Source organism: Homo sapiens, chromosome 2, assembly GCF_000001405.40.
Source record: "Homo sapiens chromosome 2, GRCh38.p14 Primary Assembly".
Lineage (NCBI taxonomy): Eukaryota > Metazoa > Chordata > Mammalia > Primates > Hominidae > Homo > Homo sapiens.
In genome coordinates, this window is record NC_000002.12 from 124,897,270 (window position 1) to 124,921,473 (window position 24,204).

General features: G+C 37.3%; 1 protein-coding gene across 3 annotated transcripts in view; it reads left to right on the forward strand.

Annotated features, from left to right (window-relative positions):
* Positions 1–23,950, forward strand: part of CNTNAP5 (contactin associated protein family member 5) — an 895,933-nt gene extending 871,983 nt beyond the window's left edge. For all 3 annotated transcript variants that reach the window (NM_001367498.1, XM_017003316.2, NM_130773.4), the window contains 3 exons: positions 5,613–5,831; positions 14,198–14,269; positions 16,823–23,950. In NM_001367498.1, the coding sequence (NP_001354427.1) occupies positions 5,613–5,831; positions 14,198–14,269; positions 16,823–17,019 (488 nt within the window). In that variant the 3' untranslated portion in view covers positions 17,020–23,950. The remainder of the gene's footprint in view (positions 1–5,612; positions 5,832–14,197; positions 14,270–16,822) is intronic.
* The last annotated feature ends 254 nt before the right edge of the window (positions 23,951–24,204 follow it).

Here is a 24,204-nt window from a genome sequence, read left to right on the forward strand (position 1 = left end):
GTCTCTTTTATGTTTCCATGGACATAATGATCTCCCTCTACTATAAGATTTATTGCCTGAAATCTTTGCTGGTCTGCTAAATTAATCCACCAATATGATTGAAAGCTCACAGAGATAGGAGGAATGTGTTTGCTAGTCATTGTAAGTCCACTATCAAACATGGAGCTGTGTCTAGGTGGCCAATAATTAGATGTATGTTTTGCAGAGCAGGTACAGAAGTTATCCAGGTCATAAAGGGACAGAACAGTCTTCCAGGCAGAGAGAATCATGTCTGAGCAAGTTAGCTCAGATCATACACAGCAGACAGGTTGGATGTGTAGCTGGGAGACTGGGTGTTAGTGAGTGAATGGCTGTTAAGTCAGGCTAGAGAAATAAAATTGTGTTTAGCTTATGAACAATCCATACCTACAGAAAAGTGTCACGCATAGCATAATAGAAAAAAAAGGGTGGAGGGGGCCTATGGCCATGAAACCTAGGTTTCAGGCCTGAATTGGCCTTGGACTGATTAATTTACTTTAAACAATTACTTGACCTTATGTGTTTTGTCTTTCCAAACTGGAAGTTGTGTATAATTGTCTCACTTTCTCACTTTATAAGGAAAAATATTTACATAGGACATACAAATGAGCATACTAAGATAAACATAAAAGCAGTAAGCAAATGCCAAGTGTGTGTGTGTGTGTGTGTGTGTGTGTGTGTGTGTGTGTGTATGTGTGTGTAACTAAATTTGACAATCCTCTTTCAGGATTGAAAGATTTATTTATTTCTTGGATTTTGGGTCCTCCTTGTAGTTAAGTTTTCAAACTGTTTGTCCCTTACCTGAAAGCCACAATGAACTCCAGAGGGAAAAATTTTTACTTGTATATACTTCTCATACCTTCCATTAACATTGATTCTGCTTAACTATATTTTACCTTGATACAACATTTTACTCTTATAAGCCCCTGTTGTATGGGTCTGTATGGTTTTGTGTTGTTACACTTCAGAATTCAAGTGTCATAAGTAACTTTTCACACATAGAAAATGTCATGTTACAATCCAGAGCAATGTCTGTTTTTAGCGAATTTCTGATCTTTTCGTGTTTCTTTCATATAAAAAAACACACATACACACACAAACCTGCCTGCACAAAATTATCCTGGATTCATTCTATCACTCTCTTCCTGTAAAACAATTGCGAATGTGTAAAGTGTTGTGCATTCTGAGGCTACACTTGACTCTTTGCTACTTTCTCTGGCATCACAGATCTACTAGATTTAATAGAGGAGCATAGCTTTACTTACAAGAAATAAAGGTGTTTGCAAAATAATGTAGAAAGTCAAATTTTAAATGCCCAAAAACGTTAGTTTAAAATAAGTTAACTAAGTCATTCAAAATTTGAGTGCTACATTTGTTCAATTGTGAATCAGTAGTAAATGGAAATGTAGTAGAGTTCCACAGCAAGCATATTAGTATCTACACCATAGTTCTAAATGCAACAGTACTTGGGCATGTTGAGGGGCACTGAAGCCAGGCAACAGAGCTTGGAACTGATGAATAGTAGGAGGAGTAAAAGATTTTACTATTACTGCTAACTACCACTCCCCCCGGCCTCCTCCTCCTAACAGTATGCTTTCATTATGGCGATATGTTAGTCAAAGGATGAACATTTAGTTAGACTGGAGAATAAGTTCTGGAGAAAAAATTCAAGGGACCTATTGTGCATCATGGTGACTGCAGTTAATATATTATATATTTGAAAATTGCTGACAGTAGATTTTAAGTTTTTTCACACCACACACAAATGGTATATAAGGTGATCCGCCATGTCACGTTAAACATCTTGACTTAGCCATTCTACAATGTATGCATATATCAAAACATCATGTTGTGCAATATAAATATATACAAAAACCAAACAAATACATAAAACACCAAAGCTGCATTAATGGTTATTGAGCTATAAATTTGATTTATATTATTGTATTTATTTCTGACATAATTCATGTGGTAGGTACTATTATCCCTATTTTATAGGGGATAACATTGAAGAAACATGGAAACAGATATCATATGGGCAAGTTCATGATTCATCAACTTAGGTAGACCTAATTTCCAACCTGTACCTATCAGCAGCTCGTGCTGTTTTTACATCACCCTTGGAGGACATGGGGCTAAAATCAAAAGAGAATCAAGAACCTTATTTTGATGATATTTAAAATGTATTGAGTGACAGAAACTAAGTCAATTTCAAATAAGACATTTGGATATGCTGTTGTTTTTTCTTTCCAAGATGCCTTTGGTTTCTTAAGGCAGTGACAAGACTTTTGAACATTGTAATTCTTTTTTTGGATAAGATTTTTATGTTAGTAGAAAATCTTGGGAAAAATGAAACAGGGAACACTGGTATTTTTCAGTGGTGTCGCCTTTGCTTGCATTCCCATTTTGTCAGCTTTTGAGGAGCCATATTCACTATTAAGTTTGTCTTCAACATCCATTCTCTAACACAGCACATGAAACAGTCCCCTTATCTAACTCCACATGAATCTAATGTAATTTTAACCTAAAAACAGAAAAATGAATTAGGAAATACATTTGTCTTTAATGTAATACAGAGTTCAGTGAATTCTGTGAGGCACTTAACCAAAATAACTTGTGCTTTCCTTAGTTTTTGCAACCCATTTTTTAGATAATTTATGTAAAATTATTTTACTCTATACAGGAGATATTTTGGAGGGTTTTTTTTTTGGAGGCTGCATTGCTTAAATACAGTTTGGCATTTAAAATCATAAAGACTTGGGTTTAAATCTCAACCCTGCTACGTGATCTTCAGTACATCTTTGAACTTCTTCGAGTCCTAGTTACTTCATTTGTAAATTTTGAAGGTTGAGAACACATATCCGGAAGAACTTTTGAGGGGAATAGAAATAATTCTTCGACAACAATTATTGCAGTTGTATGTAGCTACTCAGTGAGTGGTGAATGTTGAGTATTTTGCAGCTTTAAAAGTATTGTTTTTATCAAATTATTATAGCATACTACATATCAGTTAATGCTATTATAAGAAACTAAAATCATTTAGAACCTTTCTAACTTTTGTCTTATTTTTGTTTTTTTTCCTCTCCATCTATGTAAGAATCTGAGAAATCATGATCTCGAGCATCATGCAGAGCATATTTTCTCCTATCAGGGATTCTTGTTCTTTGCATTTCTTTTCAGAAACACCTCAAGGTTTCTGTCCTTATAGTACATCTGGAAGAAGCACACTTCCCTAGAGATAGGGCTTTATTTAAAACATCTCTTCATTCAAGGTGAGAATGTCATTTGCTGGCATTTCCCCCGACTTATCAATGTGCCTATTCTTACATCTGGAGTATGTCATGACAGTCACTATAGTGATGTCCTCCAAGGACCTGGACACTATGTAGGCTTCTTTCCCACTGAGTCCTGGGAATGAGAGCTGGCAATGTTGACTTAGATCCTTCAGGCAGAACTACAATGACTTGCCATTTTCCATGTTCTGAAATCCTACAATGCAAAAACCTCATGATAGTTTATGCTCCTCTTCCCTTGTCTTCTGCCTCTTCCTCTAAATATTTCTGATCTTTAACTCTACCACCAATCTGTAGCTAATGCATATTCTGAATTGTATCTGGGTACAGTGAGTTCTGGTGCCACCAGCAAAAAACATCTAGTCCATTAAAGTTTTTTGTGAGATGCTTTATGTGGGACACAGTCTTTTAATGCTCATCATACCAAACAAACATATGTGATCCTTTCATGAATAAGTAGCAAATATATACCAATGCTGTAGGAGATTTATTTGAATATTTGGAAGATAGAAGTTTTCTCATACATCTCAGAGTCCTTTTATATTTGAAGAAGTGACACTTCACATTATTATTGGATTTTCATTATCATTTTTGGGAAAGTTCTCACAAAATCTCAGACCTGAAGTTGTAGACAGAATTATAGAGCACAAAGATGTCTGTGTCCTAATCCTCAGAACCCAAGAATACATTAGGCCATGTGTCAAAGAGGAAGTAAAGTTGCAAAAGTAATTAATGTTGCTCATCAGCTGTATTTGAAACAGGAAGATAATCCTGTATTATCAGGATGAATTCAGTGTAATCAAAAAGGTCCTCAAAAGTGAAAGAAGGAGATAGAAGAGAATTATAGGTTGAAGTAAGTATGAAAGAAAGGCACAGAGAAATGTAACATTGCTTGCCTTGAAATAGAGAAGGAGTCTACAGAAGCCATGGGATGTGGGTGGCTTCTAGAAGCTAGAAAAGGCAAGGAAATATAATATTCCCCAAGAGTGTCAAGAATTAATGCAGCCTTGCTGATACTTGATTTTTAGCCCAATGAGATCGATGGCAGACTTCAAACACACAGAACTGCAAGATAGCACACTTGTGTTTTAAGCTCTTTAAAGTCATTTAAGTTTGTGGCAATTTGTCACACCAGCCACATAACAATACACGATTTGATTTTTTTATGTGAAAAGACAGAGATGATAAGTTGGCTCAGTTTACATGGGTGTTGATGGAGGAGAGTAAAATTAGAGCAAAACTTAGAAAAGGCATTATTAAAGGAGGTTAATTTCTCATTTTCCTCCATATCCTTATCATACCTCTTAATGTTGCCAACATAATGCATGCTTATAGATCAGTGGAGGCTCTTTGACCATTTATGAATCAAAATAAAATTATAATCTATGCCAGTAGATGAGAGAGTCCCTACTGCCTTTCAGAAAACAAACACATTATCTTAATAAATAACCATCTCGGTACGTGAAGACTATTACACCTTAGGAAAAAAGATGGCTCATTATGCATTGCAGTTTTATATAATTGCATCATAGCAGTTTGTTCAATTGACTCTTTTAAGAAAAAGAAATGGAATACTGAGTAATCTTACCACCAATCTTGAAGAAAACAAGACATTTGATCTTGCTATGAATCCCAAATTATTGCATGTCCATCTTTTATAAAGTCTCAAAGATACTTTAGGAAGTTGAATGCTGTCTGCTGTCATAAAAAACCCATGCACACCAATCAGTTCCATGGACAGAACCAAGCAGGTGGAAATCTTGAATAGAAGGTCAGTCTACACAGGTGGCTTAAAATAATTTACACAATAAATCTTTGGAAGGACAACATTGACTTCTAATCCCTCTACCTCTTTATTTTTTTTCTCTTGCTACATTTTTGAGTGAAGTGTTGTAATGAACATCATAGGGTGCTTGCACTAATCACCAGTATCCAAAGATAAATGATGATGCAGATAATGATACAAATTTTATAAAGCACCTAAAATACAGAACAGATTTATTGTCTTTGTTACAGTTCATAAAATACATGAATGAAAATTTAGAAGTTGGGGAAAATTTTTATCTCAAAGCAGAAATGGCCCTGACAATTTTCTATGAAATGTAGTTGATATATTGATGCTTGCATTGGGAGTGGAGGTGGGGAAAGGAGATAAAGAGAGATAGATAGGGGAGGGTTTTCTTTACTCAAACAATAACAAGGTAATTTCTGTAATTTTAGATACTACTCAAAGAGGACCCAGCATATAATTTGGAAAAAACAAAAAAAGTAAAGGACTTCTGATTATCTTTTACATTGCAGAGAATCTTGGTTTGGATTCTGAAGTTGCTAAAGCAAATGCCATGGGTTTTGCTGGATGCATGTCTTCCGTCCAGTACAACCACATAGCACCACTGAAGGCTGCCCTGCGCCATGCCACTGTCGCGCCTGTGACTGTCCATGGGACCTTGACGGAATCCAGCTGTGGCTTCATGGTGGACTCAGATGTGAATGCAGTGACCACGGTGCATTCTTCATCAGGTACACTCAAGAGCATGCACAAGGGAGCTTCTGTCACTAGCACTACTTTTTGTGTCTTCAAGAAGCTTCCAGATTAAAGAGTTGGCTAATGTGACTCAGTTTTTACTTTGTATAATAACAGGTGGCTAAAAATTATGACTGATATTTCATGGGTGATTTTATACATATTTGATGTAGTTTTATTTTTAATATGATGAGTAATTAAAACTAAATGCATAGTTGTGTACTTTGCTTATTATGCACGTATATAATGCATTGTGTATGTGTGTGTGTGTGTTTGTATACATAGTCACTACTGTTGAAGTGGATACTGCTCCGAGAATTGAGGTATTTAGAGAACAGGGAGGCAGCAAGCTGGTACCTGAACTAACATGATAATTCATGTGATTAAAATAAACCTTTTTTAGCTTTATTAAGAAATAATTGACAAATAAAAATTATATATTTTCAAAGTGTAAATTGTAATAATCTGATAAACATGCGCATTGTGTAATTACTATCACAATTAAATTAATCAACACATCACTGCACAGTTACCCTTTGTGAGTGTGTGTATGTGCATGCACATCTGATGAGGACACTTAAGATTAACTATTTTAGCAAATGTCAAGTAAACAATACAGTATGAATAACTGTAATCATCATGCTGTACATTAGTTCACCAAAATTTGGGCCAGGTGTGGTGGCTTATGCCTGAAATTGCCGCACTTTGGGAGGCAAACGCAGGAGGATCACCTGAGGTCAGGAGTTCGAGACCAGTCTGGCCAACATGGCGAAACCCCATTTCTACTAAAAATACAAAAATTAGCTGGCCGTGGTGGTGGGCACCTGTAATTCCAGCTACTTGGGAGGCTGAGGAATGAGAATCGCTTGAACCTGGAAGGCAGAGGTTGCAGTGAGCCAAGATCATGCAACTGCACTCCAGCCTGGGGTATAGAGTGAGACTCTGTTTCAAAAAAAAAAACAAAAAAAAAAAAACCAAAATGTATCATCTTCTGACTGAAAGCTTGTACTCTTTAACCAACAACTCTCCATTTCCTGCACACACCAGCTCCTGACAACCGCCGTTCTCTCTGTTTCTATGAGTTTGACTTTTTTAGATTCCACATATAAGTTATATCATATAGTATTTGTCTTTCTGTGTCTTGTTTATTTCAAATTGGCATAATGTCCTCTAGGTTATTCCATAGTGTCACAAATGGCACAATCTTTTTTAATGCTGAAAATTTCCAATTGTTTGTGTATATGCCACAATATCTTTAATCATTTAAGCATTAACAGAGAGTTTGTTTCCATATCTTGGCGATTGTGAATAATACTGCAGTAAACACAAGTGCAGAAAGCTGCAGGCATCTCACTCCCTGATTTCAAACTATATTGCAAAGCTGTAGTAATAAAAAAAAAAGCATAATACTGGCATAAAACAGACACATAGACTAATAGAATGGAATAGAGAAGCCAGAAATAAACCCAGGCTTATTTAATCAACTAATCTTTGGCAAAATTTCCAAAAATGCATAATGAAGAAAATGTTGCTTATTCAATAAATTGTGATGGGGAAATTGAATATCCACATGCAAAAGAATAGAATTGGACCTTTATCTTATACCATATAAAAATTAACTTGAAATGGATTAAAACCTTAAATATAAGACCTGAGACTGTAAACTCCAGGAAGGGAACATAAGGACAGATCTCCTTAATATTGGTCTTGAAAATATATATATATGTTTACATGACACCAAAAGTATGATCAACAAGAGCGAAAATTTAAAAAATGGGACTGCATGAAACTAAAAAACCCTCTGTACAGCAAAGGACACAATCCACAAAAGGAAAAGGCAATCTACAGAATTGGAAAAAGAAATGTTTTTAAACCATATGACTGATGAAGGGTTAGTATCCAAAGCATAAAAAGAATTAATATAACTCAATAGCAAAAAAAAAAAAAAAAAGAAAGAAAGAAAAGAAAAACACTTCAAAAAATAGGCAAAGGATGTGAATAGTTTTTTTTTGTTTTTTTTTGTTTTTTTTTTTTTCCACAAAAGGCATACAAACATCCAACAGGTACATGAAAAGGTGCTTAACATCACTGATCGTCAGGGAAATGCAAACCAAAACCACAATGAGATGTCACCTCACAGCTGATAATATGATGGTTAGTATCAAAAAGACAAGAACAACAAATGTTGGAGAGGAAGTACAGAAAATGGAACCCTTTTACACTCCTGGTGGGAATGCAAATTGGTACAGCCATTATGGAAAAGAGTAGAGAGGTTTGTCAAAATATTAAAACTCGAATCCTATTTCTGAATATGTAACGAAAATAAATTAAATCAGCCTTTCTTAAAAGTAGAAAAAACCCACAGCACCATCATCCATACATTCTCTGCTTCACTACCCTCTAAGTGCCTTTTCTATCTTTTCTTAGTCACTGTCATTTTGGGTGTCTGAAAATGTATCTGGGATTTTGTCTTAATCAGGTATGATAAGGTGACAGGCATGAGATGATTGCCTTTGAAAGAAAAGTTTATTTCTTACAGTTCTCAAGAAAAAGAGATACATTCTACCACTCAGAGCCACATGGAGAAGTGCTAGGGTTGGTCAGGAGGGAGAAAGAGAAAGGGGAAAGTGTGGTGGGGTGGCTGTGTTGCAGCTTCCATGGGAAGGAATGGGGTGAACCAGGTAGGCAAGCTTGAGCCAGTTAGAATTGGATAGTTTGAATAATGTGGGCAGGATCTGCGCTACAGGGGTGGTCTCTAGTTATCTAATACCTAATACTTGGCCTTGAGTGATTTAAGGCAAGAGAAATACTGGGTTGTGAATGTGAGTTAGATAAATGGATTAGTGTGGGAGATGGGCTCTGGATTGATTGGTTTGTGTATAAAATGCATGCTTGCAGGCCTATTGTTTGCTATCTCTAGGAATCAGCTAGCCCTGAGAGGGGCAGTGTCTCCCTGGCCAGCAAGATCCTCAAGATGTCAAAGCATCATAAATACTGATTAAAAAATGACTAATACACTGAGATAAAACCAAGACATCAACATGTATCAACAAGTCAATATAATATAGATAGAAACAGTGATAGTGTCTTCATTCTGATTATGCTTTAAAGTGGTTTGTATATGGGTGAGGGAGTATTATCAGATTTTTCTAGGATGCTTTTTCTAAATCCATGGGATATATATTTTGTTCAGATTTTGCTGCTAATATTGGTATGAAATATGGGTTTTGCAAGTAGTGGTGATGAAGAGGCTAGGTCTGAGATGTTTGATAAAGCTCCCATTTTACTATGGTATTGTTTTACCCTCCCCTTGCTTCCCAGCACACACTAAGAACAATAGTGGTAGGTGTTGAAGGGTTCTGGACCACAGTAATTTTCTATTACAGGCACAATTCCCCCAGCAGTGGTCTACGATAGGTCATGATGTGTTAGTAGGAAGATAAAAGGTGGGACATCTTATTGCATTAAACAAGTCTAGGAGATTTTAATATCTTGGGAAATATATTGAGAAACACGCACTCTCTTTTATATGGCAGGACTCTTAGCCAAGACTTTTAGCCTGAGATCTGTAGTGCCCAGTCCAATATTTTGTAAAAATTGAGAAATAAATTTTTTAACAAATTTGGTAACCTGAGTAGGATATTTAAATATTTCTATCTATCTACTCTTCCAGCAATGTATTGCCCACTCCTTTACTGTTTTATGTTTCACCATTTTATTCTTCAAATATGATTTTGAGTTCTTTCAGGTAATTCTTGTGATTCTCCTGTTACCTTATTCATCACACATCTTTTAAGCAGCTACTTAGTGTTAACTTCCATAGTTAGTGGAGATAACAAAAAATAAGAAACATTTAAAGTCCCTAATTTTAGAAATCTGTAAAGATGATGGAAGGCAATGGTTCAGGGAATTAGGGTGTGTCATTGGATGCCCGGCACTATATCATAATACAGTGTGAGCAATGCTAAAGGAAAAATATGAACAGAGTTTTGGGTTGTATGGAACCAAGAAAAGGCAGTAAATACATTTTAGATGAACTAATGATAGATTTATAAATAATCTGGTCATGGCAATGCTTAGGGAGAAGGGTTTGCAATGTTCAGAAGACAGAAGCCCATTACAAAAGGAAATATGTAAGTTAAAATTCAAATTTCTGGTACAGTGTAGCATATTTAGTAATCAGTGAAAACCCCTCACAGGTAAATCATTAGGTGCAAGTGTAGAAGTCCAACATATTTCAGTAATGAGGAGTTCTTATGGAATGTTAGCTCTCTCTCTATCTCTATATATACATAGATATTTCATAGAGATAGATACAGATAGTTGCTCAATGTCTATCTATATTATTATAGTATACAATAAATTCTATTCTATAAGAATAGATATATAGATATAGATATGTATGTATAATATATACATAATATATAGATATAGAATATATAAAATATATAGATCTTGATCTATATCTATAATTATATCTATATCTATATTTATAGATCAAGATCTATATATATGATATAAATAGATAGATACATTTAAGCTGAGTCATTCTTTTTTTGAGAGGGGGATTAAAACTAAAAGATAGCTCTAAAATTGTTAAAGACAATTTAGACACACTGTGAAGAGAGAAGTACTATTGAAATAAATGAATAACTACCCCAAGGGTTACTTTGCCGAAGGTGTCCATTAAGCATGGATATAGGCATGGTATTTTTAACTTTTGTAGTCATGTTACTGAAGCTGTCATCATACTAGATCTGAAGTATTTTATTTGTAGCTTTAATAAATATTAGTTAGAATTAACAAGCTGGGTTAATATATATTAATGTATCATTAGCAAAATTTGCTAGAAATGGGGAAATCTGTTGTGAAATCAATGTTAAGTAATAACCAAGGTTATTATTTTGGTTAATAATGTTAAAAGTAGTACATAGACTCAATAAGGGAGAAACCATTGTAAGTCGGAGTAAGAAAAAAAAGCCATGAGGCTGGATGCAGTGGCTCACACCTGTAATCCCAGCACTTTGGGAGGCCAAGGAGGGCAGATCACAAGGTGAGGAGTTTGAGACCAGCCTGACCAACATGGTGAAACCCCATATCTACTAAAAATACAAAAATTAGCTGGGCATGGTGGTGCACACCTGTAATCCCAGCTACTCAGGAAGCTGAGGCAGGAGAGTAGCTTGAACCTGGGAGGCAGAGGTTGCAGTGAGCTGAGATCACACCACTGCACTCCAACCTAAATGACAGAGTGAGACTCAGTCTCAATAAAAAGAAAAGAAAAGAAAAAAACAAAACAAAACAAAAAAACAGAAAAAGGTCATGATCTAATAAACCATAATGGATGATTCAGATTTGAATACAGTCATGTACCATGTAAAGATAATGGTCTGCATAGACAGTGGTCCTATAAGACTATAACGGAGCTGAATAATTTCTATGACCTAATGAAGTTGTAGCAATCATAAGGTCCTAGTACAACGCCTTATCCACATGTTTGTGGTGACTCTGGTATGAACTTACTCCTCAATAAAAGCCTCAGGCATTTTCTTCAGGAAATAACTCAGAAGAAGGCATTGTTATGGTAGCATGTGGTACCTCTTGCATATTGTTGGCCTTGAAGACCTTTCAGTGGGACAACATGAGGAGGTGGAAGACAATGATATTAACATCATGAATCCACATAAGCCTGATCTACTGTGTATGTTTGTGTCTTAGTTTTCAGGAAAAAAGTTTAAAAAGTAAAAAATAACAGTAAATAAATTTAAAAATAGAAAAAATCTTCTAGCAAAAGGATATAAAGAAAGAAAATATTTTTGTATAGTTGTATGATATTTGTGTTTTAAGTGTTATGACAAAGAAGTAAAAAAGTTAAAAAAATAAAAAGTTCACAAAGTAAAATAGTTATAGTAAGCTAAGGATAATTTATTATTAAAGAAAGAAAAAAAGTCAATAAATGTAGTGTAGCCTAAGAGTAAAGTGTTTATAAAGCCCGTAGCAGTGTAGAGTAATGTCCTGGACCTTCACCACTTACTCACTGACTTGCCCAGAGCAACTTCCAGTCCTGCAGGCTCCATTCATGATAAGTGCCCTGTGCAGGTGTAGCATTTATTTAAATCTCATATTTTTACTCTGCTCTTTCTATGTTTAGATATGCTTAGGTACACATATACTCACAAATGTGTTATAGTTGCTTATAGTATTCACTACAGCAACATGCTATACAGGCGTGTAGCCTGGGGGCAATAGTCTATACTACATGTACAGCCTAGGTGTGTCATAGGCTGTACCACCTAGGATTGTGTGAGCACACTCTATGATTTCCACACAACGACAAAATTGCCTAATGACACATTTCTCAGAATATATTCTCACCATTAAGCTACACATGACTGTATTTATAAAGAAGCAGGAGGCATTTTAAGTAGGTGGAGTAGCACAGGGATAAACAAGAATAACAAGCACAGTGGACAGTGTGATACAGGAGATCTAATAACTAAATATTTTGAATTTCCTCTCTTCCTGTCTCCCTCCCTCCCTTTCTTTCTTCTTTCTTTCCTCCTTGTCTTCTACCCATCTTTTACCATACCTCATCCCCTCTCTCCCTCCCCCTTTTATTGACTCCTCTGATTTCTCATTTTCCTTCTCTTTATCTGCCCGCTCTCTCTCTGTCTCTAACACCCACTATCATCATTATCACCCCATCGTTATCAATTGGTGACATATATATATATATATATATATATATATATATGTTCTTCTCCATGTATGTATGCATGTATGTAGGTCATCCAGGTGTACAGAGATGATTAATAATATCAATTTCCAACTCCAAGTTTTTTCCACCAGACCCACCTTATCAATGTCACCAGTTCTGAATACCTGCTCCATGGCCAGCACCTTCTTTAATTACAATACCCTTCCCATTTGACCCCATCAGCCTCTCTCTCATGTTGATTTGTTTCTGCTCCGATTTCAAGAGTCCTAGGAAAAGGCCACCCCTGGACACCACAAATGGCATAAACTACCACACTCCCTTCACTTGAAGACACAATAAATACTTACCAAACATCTTTCACGTGTGTCTCCACATGGCTGTGTGGCAAGTGCTGTGGTATGAAGAATTGCGTGTCTTGGTTTTTTCATTAGCAAGCTTGAGGTCCCACTCGTGAGACTAGGATGTGCATGTTTATACACATAAATGTGTATGTAATTAATAGTAAGCAAAATTATAAGAAGAAACAAGATTTAGTGAGCACTTACGTTGTATCAGCCACTGTTGTAAAAACAAGTATATTAACTTGTATAATTCTTACAAAACCTTTTAAGGCAAAGACTATCATTTTTACCATTTGACAGAGAAGAAAGTTTAAATGACACCTGACAGGACTAATGATGTCATATGGGGGCTTGAGTTCTGTTGCTGCCTGCACATCACCAATCTTGATATTTTTCAAGCAGCAGAGAGGAGTAATAGAAAGACTCTGAGTGCAGTAGTTGGATAGCTTTGGTGTGAATTTTGCCTCTTTCATGAATGATCTGTAGGACTTGGACATGTTATTTGATTGTTTCAATCTAGTTTCCTTATTTGCCAAAGGGGAACAACAATACTCATGTTGTAGTCATTTTCCAATGATCAAATGATACAACAATAATAATCATAGTGGCTACTTATAAGTGTATAGTAGCCACAAGGTCCTGAAAATTTAGCATGCATTATATACACACATATAGGTATTACTACTCTCCTTTAATACATGTGCAAATTTATATTTAAAAAGAGGTCTTCCTCAATGTCACCAGACCAACAAACAACAGAGCAAAGACTCAGATTAAGGCCTGCGTACCCTTAAACTTGATGCTTTTTCTTATATCATATATGGTACTGTACACACAGTACAATTTCTCTCTCATCAGTGAGGCCTGCTCCTGAAGGTGTTAATTCTCCAGCACTTTTGTTCTTTACTGTCAATAAACTCAGGATCCTTTTGCATCTGAAGAAAACTCTCAAGCAGAGCAGGGCATCATGCATAGGAATAGGAACTGTCCAGCTAGGCAACAGGGGACATTAGGAGCAGGGTGAGGGCATGTGGACAGGATACCACCATCCTCTGTTTTAACCCCTTATCTTACAATTTGCACATAAACAAACAGGGCCATTGAACTATGGGGTGTGAGCAGTGCACTTCAAATGCTTTCTGCTTGTGCATGTTTTTTGAGTTCCTTGCAACATATCAACTCACAACTATTTGAGGGCACCTGGTGTAATGCACAGGTGTGTCATTCCAGGTGGGCCACACTGTAGGCTTCTTGCCAGTGCTTTGAGTGAGAAGTAAAGTCCCATGTCTTTTACTCCTTTCAGATCCTTTTGGGAAGACAGATGAGCGGGAACCACTCACAAATGCTGTTCGAAGTGATTCGGCAGTCATCGGAGGTAAACAATTCATTGTTGTTGAATGCAAAAAGACATAAACGATCCTGTATTCTGGAGAAAGTTATCTGAAGCTTTCCTTAATTATGGCCATCCAGCACTCAGAGCCCCCTACATTACCTGCAAGACTGTGGGCTTTTCATGAGTAGTCCTGTGTGCTGAATGATCAAAAGCACCCTCTGCCGACACCAGCAGCTCTGCGGATTCATCTTGCCTCTGATTCATGAGGCAGCTGAGCACTGAGTCAACAGCTGGAGCATTTACTTACAGACAGCAGCTCACATTCTGCTCATTTCATACAGTTTTCACTGTTTCTAAAATGCAAACAAAGCAAACCAATAAAACTAAATTCGGGGAAGAAGCCATGTTGGGGCAGACAATGGGTGAAGCCGCAGTCCTGTGGAGTATTCCCCACCAAGTGATTTGGGTTAGGTCTAATGAGCAGGGTGAAGCCCACAGAACTGTAGTTGCAAATCTCACTGCACATATGGTTACAGATGCAGACCTTGTCTGCTCTGCTGTGAGCTCAGCTCTCCTGCTTTTCCATTTTCTCATTGCCTGTTGGCCTCCCCACTTTTTTATTCTGCTTCAGCTTGGCTTCCTCCTGCTGTGGCTTGATTTTTCCATCTGGGTCTACCAACACAGAATGATTCCCAAGCTTTGCTTCATGTAAGATGCCTGTGAAAGACCAAACTCATTTCTATCTGAGAAACATAACCTTAGCAGGTGCCGCCATCCCTGCCTTCTGGAAGCCTAGATGAACTGATCCTTGGCAGATGGCGTTTTCCTTTTAAAAACCTGCAGTACCTCTCCATTTAGCTTATATTTAATGAGCCTTGCTATGGGTCAGGCTCTGTGCTAAGTAGAGGAATATGGGGATGAATGAGCCAGCGAGGAGATGGGTAAACAGACAACAAGACAACCAGTGAAGTCTGTTCTGAGGGAGGAGGTACAAATGGCTATGGGAGCACAGAGGTGCACTCCTGAGAACATGAAGAAAGGAAAACCACGCCTTTCCTTAAGGAAGTTCCTAAAACTTCTGACCTGAATTTTTGCTCCAGAGAAGCTGGACCACCTTAATTTTTGTTTGGCATAGAGAAATGTGGGAAAGAATTTTGTGCCTATTTCTCTTTCAATAATTTCCCATTTGACAAGTGGAAAAAGAAAGACTTTTGTGACTGCTGACTCCTCTCCAGCTATTTACGTGCTCTATGAGTCTCTTTAAGGACAGGGAAGTCATCTGACCCCCTAGGAAAATTCCTGGAGGCTTGCACAGCTGCTGACTCTGACTATCCCATGCATTGAAGGAGTAGGAACCAGTTTCCTATTTCATCTCTTAATGCAGCATCCCACTCATGGGAATCACTCACTACCACCCAGTTTATTCATAGACTTGCTAACTTAGATGATTTTACTCTTACTTGTTCTAACATAGTTGTAGAAAATGCCACAAAATGATTTAGGAACATATATTTATAAAAATAAATCTTAATCATGGCCTCAGTTCTAAAAAAAATTGGTGGAAGACATGCAATCCATTTATGAAACTTACAAATGTCCATGCTTCTGTAAATCATAATTCATTATGCCCAAAAATAGCTTTCTGAAATAGACACTTTTCCTCAATATCTCCTCTCCTTAGAAAAATGAAACAGCAAAATATAGAACTTATTACAAGTAAATTCTTTGCTTATCATACATATTTTTAAATATTTTCATGCTGAAATACTACATTCATGCAGAGACACATCTGCCGCTTCCATGTTTTCACTATTCCTTTATTGATATTGCCTTTCATGTTCCAAGAGCCTTCCTGGCAAAGGTAGGGGTGAGACCCTAGGGTAAGCAAGAATAGCTTGCAACATAATCCAGTTAAATCACACACAGTCAGAATAAAGGGGAATCTGATGGGTCTGGACAGAGGTTTGCCATCTCAGTTGACTTTGAGTTTCTCAAGAACAGAGGCATCTTGTCACTGAATGAGCCTTAGTTTAACAGAGTTCAGAGCAGTGTAAAAATGTTCTAAATTTATAGCGATCATTTCATTATTAATGAAAATGTTTTAGCAAAACAAACGTAACATAAAACAAATTTACATCAGGAGAGCATGTGTTAAGATGTGAGATATTTAAGTACCATTTTCTAAGATGCTAAAGTAACTCTGAAATACTTAGTTGTGAGGTGACAAAAAAATGGGCTAATTACAAATGATTCTGACACATTATTTATAGCAGACTTGAAAAATTTACAAAGAAACCCCTTGCTAGTCCAATTCCATATGTATAAGATGGTATTCTCAGTTCTTTAAACAAAACCTTCTATGGTTGAAAGTGTCTCTCGCCCCCAGTTAGTCTGAAAGAAGGAGGTTTTATAGTAATTGAAGACAGGGCCTTTCAGCAGGTCTTTATTTCTGGGCAGGTGGCAGAGTTGCGTTTGTGTGATTTGTTTTGTTTTGCTTTCTCTCCTACGCATTCCCCTCATCTGGAGGGAATCCACTCTCCTGAGCAGATGACTCATGACGATTTCCTTCTCTCTTTCCTTCCCCTTTCTCTCCAGGGGTGATAGCAGTGGTGATATTCATCATCTTCTGTATCATCGGCATCATGACCCGGTTCCTCTACCAGCACAAGCAGTCACATCGTACGAGCCAGATGAAGGAGAAGGAATATCCAGAAAATTTGGACAGTTCCTTCAGAAATGAAATTGACTTGCAAAACACAGTGAGCGAGTGTAAACGGGAATATTTCATCTGAGAAACTGCAGGGTTCCTACTACTCTTTTTTCTTGTTGTTCAATTATCTCCTCCCCCTCTTCTCTCCTGTCTTTTGATTTGGTCATTCTCTTTATTTTCTGCTTGCCATGTCTTTTCTGGAACATACTTGCATCCACCACAGCATCAATTCCCTTGATCCAGCCCAAGAGACCAGGCAGCCATGGCCACTGCCTTCCTCTCTGATGAACCTATCGGGTGAAAACGACCACTCAAGAGACTGACTTCGCCATTCAAGACAAGGAAGAGACACATGTGTGCACTCCTGCATGTTCAGTTCTGTACTTCCAGTTTCTAAAATGCACTGTTCAGTTTTCCAACCACTTGGTGGTTCAGGCTTGCTTTGAACCTGAGCTCTTAGGCACATGACGGTCATTCCTGACATCCTCCCCAGCTCAAGTCTATTCTTACCATAGAACCCAGGGCAGGGAGAGAAGAACCTAGAGGCCTGGTTTGCTTTGGTGGCATTGTAAAAAGAGTAAGAGAGGTTTGGTTTGTGGTGGTTTGCTTTCTTTACCATAAGCAATCCCTTGCCTTAACTCATCACCCTTTTTCACTATGACCCTTAGACCCTGAGTATTTTCAAATATATGATTGCTGATAGTAGTGACCAAAACTACTTTGTTCCTTTCTTACCACTCTCTCCTGGGGCCGACACGTTGGGACAGCACACCATAGCATAAAGCTAGGGGATGCATGGAAATAGCAGCTTGAAACTAGGAGGTAACAAGAAAGCTTCTAGGAAGTAGATGTTCCATATCTTCAAAATGCCTCCTCCAATTTTGTAAGAATGCTAGCTAGGTATTCCTGGGATTATTATACTGAGATATATATATATACACACACACACACATATGTGTATATATGTATATATATATGTGAGTATATATACACACACACACACACACACACATATATATATATACACACACGCACACATATATGTTGCTGCAGCATAAAGAAATTGAAATAAAAGTTTAAAATAGTACCCGGTTCAATGAAAGAGCCTAAACCATCTTAACTCAGCTTTAAAACAAAAATTAAATCAGGAAAAAATGAAAAAAAAACTGCATGAAAGAAGAAAAATACCAAACAGAATTCTTCCCTTCCATTCACTCACTAAAGACCTGGTGAAGATAGTTAATTCAAATTTGCAAGTTTCACATTTTTTAACATCAAGCTATTCTCCAAGAAGTTTAGGATGCATTAACATAAGTGAAATGGTCACCTCTAGCTAACTAGCATTGCTTGATTTCAGAGGAGCCCTTAGGTTCTGTAGCATACCACATTTTCAAATCTGCTATACCCTATATACATAAAGACCCTTCCAAACATCTTTTTATAGGCTTAAACTCCCAAAAGAGGTGGTGACAAATTTCAGGGTCTTTGTCCCTTTTGGTAACAAAGCATTGAAAACAGTCATTCCTTCAAGAAGGCACCTTGAGCTCATCCATGGGGTGGCGGTAAAGATCTTAATGATTTTTCTGTGGCAATATGCATCATTCTTTGTCCTGGGCCATCTTGGAGAAAAAGGTAAGGAGAAGACAATGTAAATGCTCCAAGATAGTGGAAATGCTCATGTAATGATTCTTAGGTGTGGAAAATACTTGCTGATTCTCTTTATGAGGCAGATTCAATTTAGAAAACAATGACCACAGCTCTATTTGCCATCCTTGACAGTTAGCAGACATTCCAACTTGTGCTTAGGGTACACTGTCTCTCGCCTCTCACAATGAGGAACTTAGTTGCTTCATTCCATTTCAAACACAGCTTTTCTTTCAGTTTCAGAGCTTATGAGTTAAGGATTTAGTTTGCAATCATATTTCTCTATTTTAAGATGTTGTTTCAAATGCATATTCTCTCCTCGAAATTTTCTGTGGATTTGAGCTCAATCGCTTTATCATCTACATGATATCTTTTGGCTAGTACATTTATTTTAAAGTGATTTTAACCATGATATCATTTCTCTCCTTTTAGTTTTAATAAGATGAATGATTCTTTAGTAAGATGAAGGATCTTTAAACACTGTTTTCCCCTGCCCTTTCCTCCCTTTCTTCAATTTTCATTTTTGAATTTTCTATTTCCATAAAAAGGCTATATAAATCAGCCTTTTGCTTGGCTATATATTCCTTTGTCCCCTGAAATAAAAGTCACCATGAAGTGTAGTAGGTTTAGCCTGAAGCAGCTCCAATAATGAAATAGAAAGGCAAAGGAAGGTATGAGTAATAAAGCTGGAACTCTTCATTATTCAATCTTTGAGCAGTGAGGACTATGTTTTGCTGACATAGTGCTAATAGAAGAAATGGAGACTAGCAAAGGCTAACTCAGAGTATTTGATTTTCTCATCTAAGTATATATGCTTGTAGATTGTCCTGTAGGATGAAGAATCTGTGAAGCTCTATCCTGACCACAATGGCACTACAAAATCAACTGGCATCTTCCTCACGTGTGTAGACTCCATGCACACTACATACCACAGACCTAAATGTAGATGCCAGGACAGTGCCGTCTACACGTCACTCCTATAAGTAGTCTCAGGGCTAAAGCAGAATTATTTTTACAGGGTTGAATTATTTCATAACCCCAGAGAACACTAACTTTCACTAGATATATATGAAATGCAAGTGATCCGTACCCTCCAAAGTAGAATGTAATTTACAATTAGAAATCGTGCTAACTCTGACTGTCTTTCCTCAGTGGTACCAAGATCTATGTAGTTTTATGTAATTGTTCAATTGTGTGAGTGTTTTAATCCTTCTGCAATTATCATCTCGAAGGAGACTTTGAAAGCATCTTAATCTCTCTTTAACCATTTTTTTTTTCTTTTTCCTACCACATTCAGGTTTCCCAACTACATGCTCTGGCCAACTGGGCCACCATGATCTCTTCCACTTAAATCCTCAGCCTTCAATAACTGCTGTTTACAAAAAGATCTTATGGAATATGGATCACTTTACAGTAAAGCCAAAAGTACTTGTGAAATTTCACATTTTAATGGAGCTGTTTCATTGATATTTTTTTCCACCAAACAAATCTATTTATGTAAGCAACAGTATATTTGCTTACTCTAAAATATATTTATCCTACTGCATCATTTATTGCATATATAGCCTCAATTGCCATCTTTATGAAAATTTGTCTGGAGAAATAGACATTTGTCATTTCTATAGACATATTTTTATGACTAACTTTGCCTCTTCTATTTACCCTCTGCTGTATGCAGAAGATTTTAAGGATCCTAGCGGTGATGTTTTAAAACAACTTTTTTCCTCTCCTTAGTAATAACAGAGATGGTATTAACTTGACTTCTACCTTTTGTCAGACTCATCTCCACCAACGGGTAGCAAGAGCAGGATAGAACAAAATAAAGAGATTGTTTTTCTTTTTTCATTCATGAAGTATTTATGGAATGCCAATGAGTGCCGGGCTAGGCATTGGGTGAACATATATAAATTACACCTTGTTTTTGCCCTTGGGGAGCTCAAAGTCTAGCTGGCAAGGCATGTATTGTTGCAACAGGGCCACACATAAAGTGTCCTAGAATGCAGCACAAGGTCCCGCACAATTATTTTTGTGAAGCATCTGCCAGACTGAAAGAAATGTAAATTTCTGGGAAATATCTGTTATTTTTTAAATTACTGCTTCCACCTTCTGTAAGCTGTTTTGTTTCTCCTCCTCAAAGTAGATATCTATCAATGCATATAGATTTCTGTAGAAAGGGGTGGATTGACTTTTAGGAACAGTAAGAATAGATGGTCTCTGTCTCTGCCATACATTTGAGGAGGCTGAATTCTCTACATTCTTGTTTCGGGTCAGGTTGGGGGATTCCAAAAGTCTTGCCTCCCATGAGTTGGACCTAAGAGTGTCCACTTTGGCCCCTCTCCTTCCCTTTTCTCAGTTCTTCCACAGCCATGTGTTTATGACCTATTGCATGCCGTTGTTCTTCCAGATGTTCCTGAAGGTGGTTTGGTTGTCATCCAGCTCTTCCTAAAACCCTCCTTAGTCCTGATGAGCCATTTTGACTCTACATAACATTTCTGAACCTAACTGAAGTCTACCCTTCCATCAGTAATTGACTAAAAAAATGTTGTCCATTTATGTGAGGTCTCACCTCTGAGCCTGAGTGAGTGTTTCCTGTCTTGAAGGTCATACTTGCTCCCTCTCTGCAGGAAGTTAATTCAGTTAGAAGAGTTGCACTGGGAGGGTGCAAGCACAGCCAACTTATCCAGTCCAAGATATCCAGGGAGATGAGGATGAGACCTGTTGAATTTTTTCTTAGGAAAGGAAAGGTCTTGACAGACTGTTCACCAACTGCCCTAGCTTCCTTTAAGCTTCCCCATAGCTACCATCCATCAAAACCTCATTGCAGCTGTAGCCTACCAAAAGGCCTTTGGGATACCTGTATGGTTCTGCCAGTCATTCTTCCTTAATGAAAAGGCTTGGACATACTTAGTCCTCAATTATCCTACAGGTCATGTATCGACTAAATAAATAAACTGACTTCATTGTTTCTGAAGATGGCAAAGGCGATTAATGGAAGAAGATGCAGACAAACTCAAAACTTTCAGAAGTCTAGGAGGATAACTGAGTGCTATTTTCTGTCTCATGCAGTTTGAACATGTTTTCTTTAAAATACACATAATGTAATTGAATTATTTCTATATACTGTTCTTGAGTCTTTCTTGACCTCTTCTTTTATCCCCTCTTTCATAGTCTTGTTTGTGGAACCATCTACTCTGCAGATTTTTATTGTCTCTAATTATCAGCTCTGCCTTCACAAATTCCAAATTTGAACCACCTAAAGGGGAAAAAATGCAACACACACACGCACGCTCACATGCACACTTTGTACAAATAGGGCTGTTATTCAACTTTTCTCTTGAACATTCTACATACATATCTGTTTGGTAGGGAGAGAAGCATTCCTCTTTTATGTTGACAATTATTTGAATCCTTCATATAAGGTTTTAATAATTAACCGGTTTGCTATTTTTCAGTGATTATTTTATCTTATTTTGCACTAAGGTACTCTGAGGAAGAACAGAAAAGCACATTTTCTAGTGAAATATTGTACTTTGTAAGCTAGATGTCTGTCTTATGTAATGTTTATAGTCTACAAAATGGCTGAGCAGACATGAACAAAGGTTAATGCAAAAGTTGGTTTTGGTTTCAACCACACCTGCTGCGAACTTGACGAGGAGGAAGAGGGGCCAGTGGCAGTAATTGGTGGCCATCTGAGGTGAGGAAGGAAATTGCTTCCACCATGAATCAGTGGTGGCAGCCTTTCCACTTTCATGGCTCCTCACTCAGGAGTCTCTTTAGTGCATTTGGATCATTGTCTTACTCATTAGGGAAAGAGGCAATATCATGGGCTTTGCATGAATAATTCTTTACTCACATTTGCATGATTTTTTTTACCTTCCAACACTTCTTCAGTCACATTCTTTTTTTTCAATTTTTAAATTTTTTTTCAGGATTTTCTCAGAGTGCTTTAGAACTATTATTATAATTATCTAACCTGCCCAGGTTAAGCACCCAGATGCAACTTTCAGGAAATGAAACTGTCAGAAAACTGCCCTAGGTCTATTATCAATCAGAGCCCCTGTGAGTGGAAGTCCTCAGATTCTGGAATCCATCCAGTGTCTTTCTTTTCCTTCCATTCATCCTGACATGAATAAGCATAACATAACTGTAAGAAGGAGTGTAGTGTCCCAGCCCTGACAACGAGTACCGCCAGGGACCTACCATCTAACACCATCTGGGAACACTATTTTTTCTCAGTCCTTCCAGTTGACACAAGGAAACCCTTTATAAAATAGGACAAAATTAGGAGATTAGTCCCAAGCCAAGACCAAAGGTGAAGATAATTGTGTTAGTGATTAACGCCTGGTCTTATTTTAACGAGTGTCATAGTCTTACATGCTTCAGATGCCAGAAATATCTTCAGAGAACGTGAACAAAGTGCTGGATATGAAACAGGAATAATGCATTCCTCTACAGACTCTTTGAAAGGCTTTCTCTTTCAAGAAACCTTGAAGGGAAAATATTAACGGGCATCAGCCTGGGCATACTTTCCCATCAGAGTCAGCCTCTATCACAAACATTTTACATGAAATATTCACCTAGTCTATTCTCTTTGAAAGGTAGTATCAACCTGTGTAACCTTGTCCTGCCTTAAATACTGTTGCAAAAAATACCAAACTTTGCTTAAAGCAGCATAGTTACATTGAGAAAGAGACTGCCTTTAGTGAGGACAAAGACCAAGAATTTTCTCTTTCTGAATCTGGCAGTTGACAGGCCTCCTGATATCCTGTGTTGCCTTGGACTAACATTTTCCTTAGTCACTAGCCTAGGGCAGAAAGGCAGCCATGTATAAATGAATACCCATGGCCATGTTCCAATATAACTTTATTTACAAAATCTAATTTAGTTCATAGGTTACGGTTTGCTGATTCCTAAGATAGAGCATTACAGTGTCTGTTTCAGATGGGAAGTAAGTCTTCCTATGGCATGTTCAGGCCCTCCTTTTCAGGGAATGAGAAAGAGTGGGGAGGGTATTTCAACAAGTAATAAATTGCAGAATACCCTCCCCACAAAAATACACATATGTCAGACTCTTTATTATGGTAAAAGCACAAAACAGGTCATCTTTTTGTGGAAATGCTGGAGTCTACCTTTTCCTTTTTATCTTCTGATTTTTGTTCCTAAAATAAAATCCCAAGTGATGTTGCCTCATTCCAAGTCAGTTTTGTAGACCATGTAACATGTCTTAATACACTGTATGGGGAAAAAATAAAAGTTAGCCTTAGATTTCTTTGTTTTCTATGGTTATTGTTGTACAGAAGAAAGACAAACTGTAAATAATGTATATTTAATAAAGAGAACATTTTGTATGATTTTGTGTGGAAGACAAATGTGCCTTGCTGTGTTTTCTTGAGTTAATGAAGAGTCAAACAATTAATCCCTTAGCTCCCATTCTCAATCCTTAGACCATTAACTCACAGACAACATAACCTGTGGGGTTGCTGGAGAAACACGAAACTCCCACTGGCTGGGTTTATTGATTTCAGCATGGCTAAAAGTGCTGTCCTGGGCTCCCTCATCGCTGAGCTGAGTTATCCCAGGCGACACGCCTGGCTCAAATGTGTACAAGAGCAAGCTCATTGAT